Source organism: Homo sapiens, chromosome 6, assembly GCF_000001405.40.
Source record: "Homo sapiens chromosome 6, GRCh38.p14 Primary Assembly".
In the NCBI taxonomy this organism is placed as follows: Eukaryota; Metazoa; Chordata; class Mammalia; order Primates; family Hominidae; genus Homo; species Homo sapiens.
The window spans coordinates 51,979,616-51,993,779 of record NC_000006.12 but is presented as its reverse complement, the minus strand read 5'-3'; the positions used below and the strand labels follow the sequence as shown (position 1 = coordinate 51,993,779).

Sequence of the window (14,164 nt, the reverse complement as noted above, 5' to 3'; positions counted from 1 at the left end):
CCTCCCTAAACTATCGAATTGACTATCATCCCCCAATTAACTTTGTCAGAGTTGAGGCAGGAAGTTCTTTAAAAGTGTTTGTAAAAGTGCTTTGAGATCCTTTAAGGAAGGAGATCCCTGGTGGATTTGTCATATGACTTCATTAGACACCTCGTATGCTAAGGAGCTATCAACTTCAGCTTCCAGTTTGGCATCATCATATTTCTAACTTACTCTATTAACTAGGAAACAGCTGAGGGATTATTTTTTCTCCTCTTTTTTGCATCTGTGTATAATGTAATTTAACTTAGCAAAAAAGACACTGATTGCCTGTCCCACGGGACTTAATTAACTCCCAGCTTCATGGTGCTCCATGGAAATAATAAGAAAAGTAAAAGTTCAAGTGTTCGGTACCTGTCCACTTCCACCTCTGGTGCATAATGAGACGTCAGGAACAGTGACACTGATGAGATGTGTAAAAGATGCTGATTATAGAAGGCAGCAAGCTGCCTGCTCGGCTCCTGGGAGCTCTGGCCAGGCTGGAAGAATCACCAACCCAGCAGGCAGCCTTTGCCTTCAGATTACAATTTCCAACATTCTCCCCACTCACCTCCCTGCCACCTGAGCAGTGGTTTTGTTAACCTTTAGCTCTGCCTTCTGCACCCTGGTCAGATGTTATGACAATTGTCACGGGGAAGATACCATGTTTATTAAGCTGCCTGTAGCAAATCCGGACTGGTAGTGCAGGATTCTACCAGCCAGCCCTCAGGGGAGCCCATTAAGAAATTGCAAGGCTAATAAAAATCATGCTGGATGAAATTGCAATCCTCTGGTGCCACTCCGTGATGGTTGAATCTAGTTTTACATTTTAATGGGGGCAGGGACTGAAGGTTTGAACCAGGACCCTTGTACCAGCAATACTGAAGGTAGTACCTTCTTAACCCAGAGCTGGAATGGAGCAGAAAGAAGACAAGCTTGCTTCTCTTTTTGTGTGAGTTTTCTGCACATTTGAGATAGGAATTTATTAATGTGTCTGATAAGTTAACAATGCACTGCTCCTGGAAAAAAGCCTTGCTCTGCCATGTGGCATGAAATTTGGGCCACAGTTAGAGTCTTCCAGCCTCTCATTGAAGCCTTCAGTGCCCACGCCTGAGGGGAGACTAAGAAAGCAGGGGTCTGGGTTCTTTTCTCTTGGTAAAATTGTTCTAAAATTTCCCTGTACTGGTGGCTTCTCCACAAGGAAATTGTGTGGAAATTGGGAGAGCCATGCCAGCGTTTAAACTCATCTTCATACTGCACCCTTTCAAATCCAGGCACCACTGAATCAGGGAGTGATTCTTGATTTCTTTGCCTCATCTCTTCTGCTCACAGAATTCATAACTTCACTTGGATAAATTGATACTTTTCAAACATTAAAATGAAACAACCAAGTATGTAATCGCTGTTTTGGGAAGATTGAGAAAAATGGAAAGAAAAACATATTAGGGTATTCAATACTTGCTATGATGCCACCTAGAGAAGCATATTTCTGTATTTTATTGTAAAGAACTACTACTACTACTAATAATAATGGGAAGGGGTAACATTAATTGAATGCTTGCTTCTTGTCAGGAACTGTGTGAAACCCTTTACTTGAACTGCCCATTTAATCCTCAGAATGAAACTTTAAAGTGATGACTATTATCATCTCAATTTTACAGGTTGATAACCATTCAGAAATGCTTAGAAGCTTGTCTCAGGACCCACAGCTGGAAAGTGGCAGAGCAGGGACTCAAATTGAGACATAATGATTCCAGAGCCTGTGCTCTTTGGCACTCTTGCCCCATAATCTTCAAGCTGGAGAGTTTAGAGATAGTAACTCCTAATTTCAGTATCTACAGGCATTGGGTGTAGAAGTATAGGAATATGATGAAATAATTTAAAAATGCTATCTGTATGTTGAGTGAATAAATCTGGAATGGTCATAAGATTAACATTGGCAATGCTTGGAGTGATATATTTATTTCTATGACTATATATTTATCCATAAAGTCCATCATTAAAGTACAATTTAAGATTTCTCTGTGAAGTCTTAAGAAACAATCCCTTTCAGCATCAGGGGATATTGACCCTATTCTTTACTGGGCTTTGGCACAACTGGAAATACATCACAATTAGCCTATTTAAGGCAATGTATTTATTGGGGCCTATTTTATTTAACTTTTAAAATAATCAATTTTAAATATGTGACAATAGAGAGAATAGCATAATGAGCCCTGTGTACCCATTGTCTACCTTCAACAGCTATCAGCTTATTTACTTTTATTTTTTTAAGTGAGGACTATGTTATGTAGGTTATCCTTTGAAAAGAAGAATCTGCTAATGGGAATTTTAAGGGTGAAGGTGAGTTTTAACTTGGGTATCTCTCATAGTGGCTATATTTTACATTTATTTGAATTTCTAGAAGGCGTGAGGCATCTAGGGTTTGTATTAAAAATTAGAGCACAATACACATAAACCAAGTTTTCCTTTGAGTCTCTTTTATTTTCTCTTTCTTTTGTTTCTATCTTCCATTCCAGTCTTATTTAAAGTTTATGTTTATAAGGTCTAAAACTTCCCAAGTGTATTTCCATTTTTAAACAGATTTCTTGGAGACCCAAATAAGTGAAGTTACAGTGGTAGAAAAAGTGGCAGTAAAGATGAGTTTTGTATATAGGGTTGTCCATGATGCTTGGCACCAGATTCCATTGTCTGAGCAACTAACTCTTCATTAACTTTAAGACAGTAAGTGGCAACTCAAATACATTGAACATTTATATGTGACAGACACATGGCATTTAAGTATTTTTTCTACTTATTTTCATAGCACTCTGAGTAGATAGTATTAGCTCCATTTTGCAGATAAGGAAACGGATGCTTCAAAATGTTAGGAGACTTGCCCTAGGCCCTGTGGCTAATAATGTTGGAGCTATGAGTTTGAAATGTAGTCTGCCTAACTTTCAACTTTCTCTTAATCATGATGCTGCCTGCTGAATAAGTTACAAAAAAAAAAGCTAGTGAATGGTATTTTGGGGGTAGAGAGAGAGAGAGAGATGGGAAAAGAGTGGGATAGAATGGAAAATAAATGAGTTCATAAAAAACTTTTGATAAAATCTCATATCCAGTGAAATAAGAGCAATGCTACATGAATTCACTTTAACTTCAAGGATATGACTATTTACTAAGGAACAAAAGTGTTTTGATTTTAGTTTGAAAATATTGGTACAAAGAGCAAGATTCTTTGTATAGCCCATAATTATCTCCCTTGCCCTGAAATATGGAAGGGCTCTGAAACACGGGAGGGGCTTCACTTATTCTTGCCCTGATTTATTATGAAAAGATGTCCACCAGAATAAAACAAAGAAATATGCCAAACAAGGAAAGCAAAAGGACTGGGGGAGCAGATATTATCAGTGTTGGGAGAGGCAACATCTGCACAAGGTTGTTAAGATGTAGCAAGTCAAGATGGCCACTGCAGTAACCACAGGCTATGTAAAGAGATAAATGGTTGACCCCAGCTCGTGTCAGGCTACGATTGATGCCACTATCAGCCCTAGTGCCTTCCCAATGATTTTTTAAAAAAATCTTTGATAGAGTGTGTTATCTAGTTACTGGCATGAGGGCAATAGCCTGGAGGGGTGAAGGAAAAGGGAAGAATAAAAGGTCACACCAGGAGGACAATCTCTGTTGGACTAAATGAGAAAAAAAGGATCTAGCTCAAAAGGGAGGAAATAAATAAATAACAATAAACGCAGCTGCTAGGTGCATGGGTGGAATAGTGAAATTGCTGTATCTCTCCCTTCCTTCCTTCCTTCCTTCCTTCTTTCCTTCCTTTCTTCCTTCCTTCTTTCCTTCCTTCCTTCCTTCCTTCCTTCCTTCCTCCCTCCTTCCTTCCTTCCTTTTCTCCCTTGTTTCCTCCCTCCCCCTATCCCTTCATTTCCTCTGGTTTAAAAAAAATTAAGACAGACCTTGAGTTATTACTGGGAGTTCAGCAGATATAGCTGTATATTCTTTGTTTTTCTCTTGAGGTATTTTAATGGTCTAATTGGGATTGTTAAGTCTTTTGTTTAAATCTCTAGAAGTGGTGAAATCAAAGGCCTTTGTTAGCCTTCCTCTCTGTAGGATAATGATGACTCGAGTGAAAAATAATAACAAAAACAGGCAAAACAAAGTTCCTCTAGATAATGGGAAAATATATCTTCATAATATGCCATTATTAATTTATTTGTGGTGAATTGTGCAGGTTCAATTCTGTGATAACTCTCTGGTCTTCCTTTCTACACACATACACGTGCACATAGAGACACCCCTGCAGGTGTGCCTGCATGCATAGTTGTTTTCACATGTACCTATACGTATTTTTGGAAAGGCAGGAATAAAATTGCTTTTGCTCAGTATCACTGCACCAACAGAATTGTATTTCATGATAATAGAAACTTTAATTGGCTCCTTTTTAGCCTTGAAACATGTTTTGCAGCAGAAAAAGCAAAGAAGGGAGAACTGAAATAGTGTTTTTGTCTAAAAGAGTATGGCTTTAATTAGTATAAGTTTTTTCTTTTTATTTGACCTGGAAAAATCTAGTTTTTGTTTTTTTTCCTTTCTCTCATGAAGTTTTTGTAGAAGGTAAAATGTCAGTACCAGGGCAAAGGCCCTGGAGACTGGAGTGGATTCGCAGCATGAATACTCACCTTTGAGAAGGATCGTATTGGATATAAAGATATCGCTTCCAAAAGCAACTCTGGGAAGAGTAGAGAAATATTTTTTAGGCAGATTTCATCCTTTTCTAAAGCCACAGACTTTAACAATGTGAGCCCCTGGCCTTATGTTGTTGATTTTCTATAGCTAGTGCTGTGCAGGCTCATCGTTAGTTGGCACAAGTTGGAGGACTTGTCTTGTCATCTCTTCCTCTGTCAAAGGTATAAGAGTAATGGAAAAGCTGTGAGTCTTGATGCTGGAAGACTTGGGTCCTAGTCCCTAACAACGCCAAGGTCCTGGGTCCTTGACTTAATTTCTCAGAGCCATCATTTCCCCTCAATGATGGTGATAGTGCTTAACCATATCTTCCTGCAAGGTTTTTGAGTTTTAAATGGATCTACAGGTGTAAAGCCCTCTCTAAGTATGAAAGTGCCATTCAACTCTTAGATCTTTTATCAATGTGGACTCCAGTGGCATATGGTGGTGGTAGTTGGCTGTAATGTGGCCAAAAGGCTCGCATAGAAAACTGGAACGTGCTACTTGCAGAGTACAGAAATAAAACAGTGGCTGTTGGAAATTTCCTTAGGATTGTTTAAAGTGGGAGCAAGGTGGGGGAATGAAATATTAGGGCTAGATGAAAAATATGTAGTATGTGTTTTTTGTACTTTTAAGTTTCTAATTGGCGACATAAAATATATGCTGGATAATTTGGTTTGCCAATAGAATTAATTATTATGTTTGAGATATTATATTTAAAATAAAAATTTATTTTGTCAAGAATTTGTCTTATATATTGAGGCATAAATTACCTATAATGAAATGTACAGATCTTAAGTGTATAGCTTATTAATATATGTATATACTGTGAAGCCCAGAATCAAATTGAAGACATAGGGCGTTTTCATCACCAAGGAAAGTTGATTTTGTTTTCATTTCTCTTTGTTTTTCCATAAATGGTGATGCAACAACTAAATCTTAAGAAATCTATCTTTTCCTTGTTTTAGTTTAAGGAAAAGTTGAGAAAGGCAAGAAGTGAACAATGATACTTACCAAACACCTGTTATATGTCAGGCACTGAGTTAGCCTTTATGTATACTAATTAACTCATTAAGAGCCCTCAAAAAATCTCCATTTTAAGATAAGAGATTGAGCTTCAGGGAAATTAGGTGACTACCAAAGGTCACAGAGTGACTATGTGGTAGAGTTAGGATTTGAATTTGTGTTACTGCCTCCAGAGCCCATTTTATTCAACTAGTAAAATAAAACAATTGCTAGGGCTTAGGGACTTGAGGGTCTTCTGGAGAATCAGAGAATACCAAAAGTTCACAGTTTCAGTTTCAGAAAAAAAAAAAAAAGGTCTTAGAAAAAGAACTTCTTTCCTGTGAGAGGACAAAACTGATTGGGCTCACCTTTTGACTGGAGATTCAGTCTGATTTAACCTTTCTGTTTCTGAGGCTATATTTTCCTCATCATTTCAGATTTATGAAACTTTTATTATTTTTGAGACAAGTTTTTAATATTGCTTAAGGGCATGGGCTGCTAAAGTCTGAAAACAGATTCTCAAAGCCTTGGTTCCACCACTTTCCAGCGTTTTGTTTTTGGTCATGTTACTTTCCCTCTGCATTTCTCAGTTTTCTCATCATAAATAGGGCTAATAAGGTAGACTCTTGGAAGGTCATTGTGAAGTTCAAACAGGGTATAGAAGTGAAGGTTTTTATGCAGTGTCCTACATCTAATAAATGCTCATTCAGTGTTTATCATTATTATTCTTGTTATTATTATCATTTCTCCCAGCCTCATACCTTCAGCTTTGAATATTTTAATTGTTGTTCTGGTTTTCAGTTTGCTATTTTCCAAATCCAGATCAATTTATTTAATGTGCTACCAAAATGGGGGTATTGAAGTGAGTGAGAAAACAACTGGACTCTGAGATTCTGCTGTGCCCTCAACCCTGGAGGGCTCTCTCAGCCTTGCTGGTTGGTGTTCTATCTTGATGTCCTCATATCCTGTGTACCTAATAGTAGTCACAATCGGCATTAATCAACCACACCTAGCATTTCTACACGTCTGTACCCACGCTTTCTTTAAAGCCATGCTATTTATGTGCTCTACCTAGTATCGGCTATTATACTTGTTTCCTGCTAGATTATGTGTGTGCCAGAGGTAGTCTGAGCACCTACTGCTGTGCCTGGGGTTTAGCAAATGCTGCCACGCTATTTGTTGGATAAAGGCCATTTCCAAATTTCATTTCTGGACAAAACTCCTGGCGGTGTCATATATTTTTCCAGTTTTAAAGTTTCCTAATATCTCACTTTTCTATTTTGCTTGGGGAATGAGAAATACCACAGGAGTTAATTTGCTAGGCAACTGAAACATTTCCGTCAAAATACCAAGCCATGTTTATTTTTGATATTAACTTCTAAAACATTGCGAAGGCTTTTCTGTCCTTTTACTTGAACATAGGTGGTAGTATCAAATATTTTGTTGATACCTCTGGATCATCAGCACAAACTTCAGTTGTTTCACTTTTTAAAAAAATAATAACTCTATCCCAGGTGGTGCTATTGAAATTGCTAAATGGCCCATGACTGTATTGATGTATTTCGTCCCTTCCTTTGCTGTCAGACTGCAAGTCTCACATCTGGATGCTGTCAGTAGCCCCTACTTCCTTCTAATTGATCCTTTTGTTTTCTTCAGCAACTGACAAGATAACAAAATTTTAATAGATATATACGATTCTGAGTGCAGTCTTGAAAGACACATCTTGAAGAAGTACATGAGGTTTGGTGTGTGGATATTGTGATAAATTCCCCACCTCTCCCCTTCATTTCTCATTAGTCATATTCATGACTGAGATTGTGAAGAGAACAGCTATGTCCCTCTCCACGACAGGTCTGAATATGGCATTTCTATAATATTAGAGACAAATGCTATATATTACTTACATTTCTGTTTTTTTAACTTGAAATCATTATAACTACACAGATCCCCATAGCAAAATTATTCCTATTAATCCCATTACGTTTTTACCTTACATTCTCACTTTGCTAACTGGAAATATGCTGATTATAAATAAGTTGTTAATATGACCGGTACCATTTGTGAATTAATAACTATCACAAATATATTCTTATTCACAAATGGTTACATAAATTATTTTAAAAATTACTTTCCATTGTATAACTTCTAGAAATAAATAACTCATATAGCATGTGAGAATGTAGTATCAAAATATCACATGTATCCCTTAAATATGTATAATTATTATGTATCAGTAAAAAAGAAACCTTTCTATTTTAAAAGATATCCCTGTGTCTTATCATTTAGGGTAGCATATGCTTTATTATTATTATTTTTTTGAGATGGATTCTCACTCTGTTGCCCAGGCTGGAGTGCAGTGCCACGATCTCGGCTCACTGCAACCTCCACCTCCTGGGTTCAAGCGATTCTCCTGCCTCAGCCTCCCGAGTAGCTGGGATTACAGGCATCTGCCACCATGCCTGGCTAATTTTTGCATTTTTAGTACAGACAGGGTTTTGCCACGTTGGCCAGGTGGGTCTCGAACTCCTGGCCTCAAGTGATCCGCCCGCCTCAGCCTTCTAAAGTGCTGGGATTACAGGCATGAGCCACCGCGCTCGGCCTGCTTTCTTTTTTATAACATTCATTCCTCTTAAATTTTTCGTTGTTGTATATTTCTTAAACAATGTTCCATAAACCCAGAAACTATTGTTTATTCACTATTGGATTTTTCTTACAAAGTAGGCCAAAATAAAGAATCAATAAACATGTGTTAATTGTTTTGCAATAAATATTTCAAGAAGTTGATTTCTACAAACAATACTGCAACAGACATCTTCCACATTTATCTTTCCACATATTTTGAGAAAGTATATGAAACTCAGAGATAGCCTTCAATTGTATGTAGTTTTTTTCTAATTTTTTTCACAGATCATGCATATTGCAAAATAATATAGTTGTACCAGTTTACACATTTCCATTAAAAAAGGAACATATGAAGATTTCATTTTAATTTTAAAATAATTGATGATCTAGTAATTGTTTTTTTTTTCTATGGAAAAATATCTAGTAATGACAAAAATATCTTTGGACAAAGAATCCAACTTTCTTGCTTTCTCCTTATTTTTTCTCTAGTTGTAATGTCTGAATTGTCTTCATTGATTTAGCACCATCCTTGGACGTTTTCTCCTTGGTATTGTAGGGGTAACCCAACGTTAATTTGGTGAATAAAAACCTTGAAATTATGTTATTTCTAGTTCGCAGATTCTGAACTTCCTTTTCTTTGTAACTGAGATTTCCTCTCCATTCCTTAGAGGCATTCCAGATTAGGTTATAATTTCTGCTTTTACTTTTACTTGGTCCAGGAATGCCTCAGGCAAAGGATACTCCTACATTCTCCAGTGTAACACTGGCTTCAGGGAAAGGGGAGCAGTTCTGAATTTCATACTGATATTGGCATCCAGGTGTGTTCAAGGTCAAGAATCTGTACAGGATCACTGAACACAGACCATTGTTCTTAGGACTGTGGCATGAGATTCAAAATAATGCTCCCTCTTTGTTTTAATAAATTTTAGAGGTAGAAACTGACAACATGTAAATTTTGTGCAAGAGCAGGGTATGTGTGAGTATGCTTTTCTTTCAGACTCAATCCCTCTTTTTCATTTTACTTCTTAAACAAGTCAGAATGCCTAAAGCCTTCTTTGTTGAGGAGTAAAGTGAATAGCTTCCTTCCATGCCTTTCTCTTGGGGAAACTACTTGGTTAATAATGAATTCACTTTCATTCAATGAACCAGGATTTTAGCTAAGAAGAATCCATGCAATCTTTCAGGTTTATTGATCTAGTCACTGTGTTCTCTTTTGGGAAAGGATAATTTTAATGGCATTACCCATAAAGAATACGTGTTTTTATCTTGTCTTTCTAATGAGCGAATGCTAGAGCTGAAGCCTCTCTATGGGCTTTTTTCTTTTTGCCTTGTGGCCTGCCCCTTTGTCATAACTCAGAGTTTTCAAATCTGTCCTTATAATCCAGGTTGCTGTAGAGCAAAGAACTTCATTAACATTCTCCTGCTAGACTTGAAAACAATTAGAACAGTGTGACTAGAAAGAGTTAAAGAGGACCCCCCAAACCCTAAAACCAAACAGACATCACAGAGCAGGGATAGCAGGTAAAGTGGTTGCTATAAACACTTTCTCTTGAAAGCTGTGCCTTTTCAATAAACACACCGTTAGGCCCTAGCAAAATATTTCCAGTTGACTTCATGGGTGGTGCAGTGCTGGAAGCTGTTAGCTTGTGCTCAGTTAAATTTCAAACGTCAAAGCTCATTAATAGTGATTTTAGCCAAAGACAGCTTGTAAGGAGCTGTGCAAACTTAACTTCCTCAAATAAAATGAGAAGAAAGATGACCATTTAACATTGCTTTTCCTCCCCCTGCTTTCTTCACCTCCGCTTCGAGTTTGTTTTGGGTTTTATTGACAGTAGGTTTCAAGTTTATATTCCGCATTTCCCTTAATTTGCTTTGTCCTTTTATCTGCCCCCTCTTGGGAAATAGGCCTATTACAAAGGTGTTGCGATGTTTCTTTGAGTTTTAGGAGGAGTGTTTTGTCTGTTTGAAGCAGGCCTGGAGGAGTCTGTGAAAGTGTTAAGGCAGAAGGTTCGGCTTTTGAGAGAGAAACACACTGTGATATGATTATGTGCTCATATGCTGTTTCCAGTCTTGTCTCTGAAAACTAATGTAAAAGGAGATTCCGTTTACACAATAATGATGTTTCAGATTAAAATATCAATACAAGCAAGCCCCCTTATTTTTTGTAGTCTAGGCAGTTCTCACCTCTGTAGGTACGTAGAAAATTAAATTTAAAAAAATTTTGTTTAACCTAGTCTCAATTTACTTGTGCAGTTATGACTGTGGATAGTCCTGCTGTGTTAAATTCTCTGACAAATTAATTAATAATGGAGCTACCAATTACAAATTTGACAACGACTTGGACTTCCTTTTGATTTTGGGTTTTGTTAACGGTACACTTCACTGTGTTTCCTTCCTTTGTCTTGCAAAGGCTTCCTGGGCCCTGCTTAAGCAATGTCTGAGATTTCAGAATGTGTTGTGGGAGCCTCAGGGAGGCTGGGCAAAGGCGTCCGATGTGGTTAAGATGTGGATACTTTGGAGCCTCTCTTTTTTTTATTTTATTTTATTTTATTTTATTTTATTTTATTTTTATTTTTTTATTTTTTTATTTTTTATTTATTATTATTATTTTTTTTTTTATTGATCATTCTTGGGTGTTTCTCGCAGAGGGGGATTTGGCAGGGTCATAGGACAATAGTGGAGGGAAGGTCAGCAGATAAACAAGTGAACAAAGGTCTCTGGTTTTCCTAGGCAGAGGACCCTGCGGCCTTCCGCAGTGTTTGTGTCCCTGGGTACTTAAGATTAGGGAGTGGTGATGACTCTTGACGAGCATGCTGCCTTCAAGCATCTGTTTAACAAAGCACATCTTGCACCGCCCTTAATCCATTTAACCCTGAGTGGACACAGCACATGTTTCAGAGAGCACAGGGTTGGGGATAAGGTCACAGATCAACAGGATCCCAAGGCAGAAGAATTTTTCTTAGTACAGAACAAAATGAAAAGTCTCCCATGTCTACTTCTATCCACACAAACCCGGCAACCATCTGATTTCTCAATTTTTTCCCCACCCTTCCCGCCTTTCTATTCCACAAAACCGCCATTGTCATCATGGCCCATCCCCAGTGAGCCGCTGGGCACACCTCCCAGACGGGGTCGTGGCCGGGCAGAGGGGCTCCTCACTTCCCAGTAGGGGCGGCTGGGCAGAAGCGCCCCTCACCTCCCGGATGGGGCGGCTGGCCGGGCGGGGGGCTGACCCCCCCACCTCCCTCCCGGACGGGGTGGCTGCCGGGCGGAGACGCTCCTCACTTCCCAGACGGGGTGGCTGCCGGACGGAGGGGCTCCTCACTTCTCAGACGGGGCGGTTGCCAGGCAGAGGGTTTCCTCACTTCTCAGACGGGGCGGCCGGGCAGAGACGCTCCTCACCTCCCAGACGGGGTTGCGGCCAGCAGAGGCGCTCCTCACATCCCAGACAGGGCGGCGGGGCAGAGGTGCTCCCCACATCTCAGACGATGGGCGGCCGGGCAGAGACGCTCCTCACTTCCTAGATGGGAAGGCAGCGGGGAAGAGGCGCTCCTCGCTTCCTAGATGGGATGGCAGCCGGGCAGAGACGCTCCTCACTTTCCAGACTGGGCAGCCAGGCAGAGAGGCTCCTCATATCCCAGACGATGGGTGGCCAAGCAGAGACGCTCCTCACTTCCCAGACGGGGTGGCGGCTGGGCAGAGGCTGCAATCTCGGCACTTTGGGGGGCCAAGGCAGGCGGCTGGGAGGTGGAGGCTGTAGCGAGCCGAGATCACGCCACTGCACTCCAGCCTGGGCACCCACTGAGCACTGAGTGAACGAGACTCCGTCCGCAATCCCGGCACCCCGGGAGGCCGAGGCTGGCGGATCACTCGCGGCTAGGAGCTGGAGACCAGCCCGGCCAACACAGCAAAACCCCGTCTCCACCAAAAAAAAAACGAAAACCAGTGAGGCGTAGCAGGCTGAGGCAGGAGAATCAGGCAGGGAGGCTGCAGTGAGCCGAGATGGCAGCAGCACCGTCCAGCCTTGGCTCGGCATCAGAGGGAGACCGTGGAGGGAGAGGGAGAGGGAGAGGGAGAGGGAGAGGGAGAGGGAGAGGGAGAGGGAGAGGGAGAGCTTGAGCTTTGGAGCCTCTCTAAAAGGGCTCTGTACCGCAGTGCCTTTGAAGAATTTGAGCTTGGGTTGCACAGAGGTTTTTGCAAGACTCTGTGCAATCGGAGTAGAGGTAGAGTGTAGTGGGAAGAGCATGCAGGTTGAGTGTTTATCAGGGGATCTTGTGTCAGAGGTTTCTTGTGAGGGTTTATAGTGATTCCTTTTTAGAGGCAGGCATGTGTTCCAAATAGGTTATAAACGCTGTAGCTTTTTCCCATTTTTGACCAAAATATAGGAACTTAACTTTTTATTTTTTCCTCCAACAGTTTATTTAGACATTTTAAAAAGCTGACTGATTTGGACAAATATTGCTATGCTACTAAAGGCTGTTAATTGTAAACATTCTACCATCTTGATATTTAAAGGAATCTAGTTACTTTCTTCAAGTGGACTGTATTGTTATTGTTCATAGATTTCAATGATATTTGGCTCACAGATAAAGGGTTATAATAGGGATCATGTTGAGTAGTCTGTACTGTTCAGAGTATCAAAAGTTTGCATGATTGCTTTTAAAAGCCAAGTAATGAGATATTTCTGCAAGTAAGATCATAGTCTGATAAGTATTCCTACAACTGCTACCTTTTAGCTTTCATTTTCTCTACCTTCTCTTGTAAACGTCCACATTTTGCCCTTGTAAGAAAAGAAACAAGCCTGTCTCATTGTAATGCTTGGCTTGTGTGTTGGTTTTTTTCAACAGTGAGCTTCTTGAGAGCAGGGAATTATGTTATTTGTCATTTTATCCTAAGGGTCTAGCACAGTACCTGGCTCAATAAATGTTTATGGGTTGAATATAGTAAAACTTCATTAATTGATACATGAACAACATTGTAGGTAGAATATTTAACTTAAGAGAAAAATCAACTTTATGAACTGTAGCACATTATTTGCATGCAAATGGGGGCTGCAAATTATAAATAAGTGCTATCAATTTATTGAAGCAGGTCTACTGACATTCTGCTGGCAGACATGGTGGCAGGAGTTTGAGTTATACCTTGATGAATATTTTCTATAATATTTGAAAAAAACCACGAAATAGTTTTAACAGAGTGCAAAGAAATTATAAACTTTCAGGCAAGAGAAAGCATTTTGGTGTCACTGACATCCCCCATTTGTTTGTTGCTTGTTACATACGGGTAATAAATGGGTCTAATTCATGAATTTGGTCTAATTAATTTGGCAAGTGCTCATTATGTACCAGGAGAGGTGCTAGTGACTTGTAATATACATGTGACTACCATATAGTCCTTGTCCTTAAAACTCACACTCTAGCAAGGTGAAACATTGATGTAAATATGGAGCACAAAAGCAGTGGGCACTGAGCGCAGGGCAGCACTGAGAGAAGATAGCTTCTCCAGGGTCCAAGAAGATCATTCTGGAGAGATTTTAAATGGAGACAGTCCTTGGAAAACAACTGGACTGCTCAGGAGAGAAAAAACACGTGCATACAAGTCAGGGTATGTTAGGGGACACTGTGGCTTTTGGTATAGCTTGAGGATGGCACATGATCCAGCAGAATTATGGGGAGAAGCGAGGGATGAGGCTGGGAGACCACTTGTAGGGTAGAGGATTAGATACTTATTTGAATTTGGACTTTGTTCTCTAGGCACTGGAGTCAGCTCTTTTCTAAGCTCTACACTCTGTGTATTCTAAGTGTGTGTG

The 14,164-nt window shown here is 39.8% G+C and overlaps 1 protein-coding gene across 22 annotated transcripts in view, besides 1 other annotated feature; it reads left to right on the top strand.

Annotated features, from left to right (window-relative positions):
• The window catches only part of PKHD1 (PKHD1 ciliary IPT domain containing fibrocystin/polyductin), a 472,317-nt gene that overhangs the window by 93,836 nt on the left and 364,317 nt on the right, over window positions 1–14,164 (top strand). The window lies entirely within an intron of this gene.
• Window positions 10,891–11,617: an enhancer, noted in NCBI's record as "OCT4-NANOG-H3K27ac hESC enhancer chr6:51846961-51847687 (GRCh37/hg19 assembly coordinates)". NCBI's record gives its function as "activates a minimal SCP1, AML or CMV promoter by ChIP-STARR-seq in naive H9 embryonic stem cells {active_cell/tissue: H9 hESC(naive)}" and the evidence as "EXISTENCE:reporter gene assay evidence [ECO:0000049][PMID:30033119]".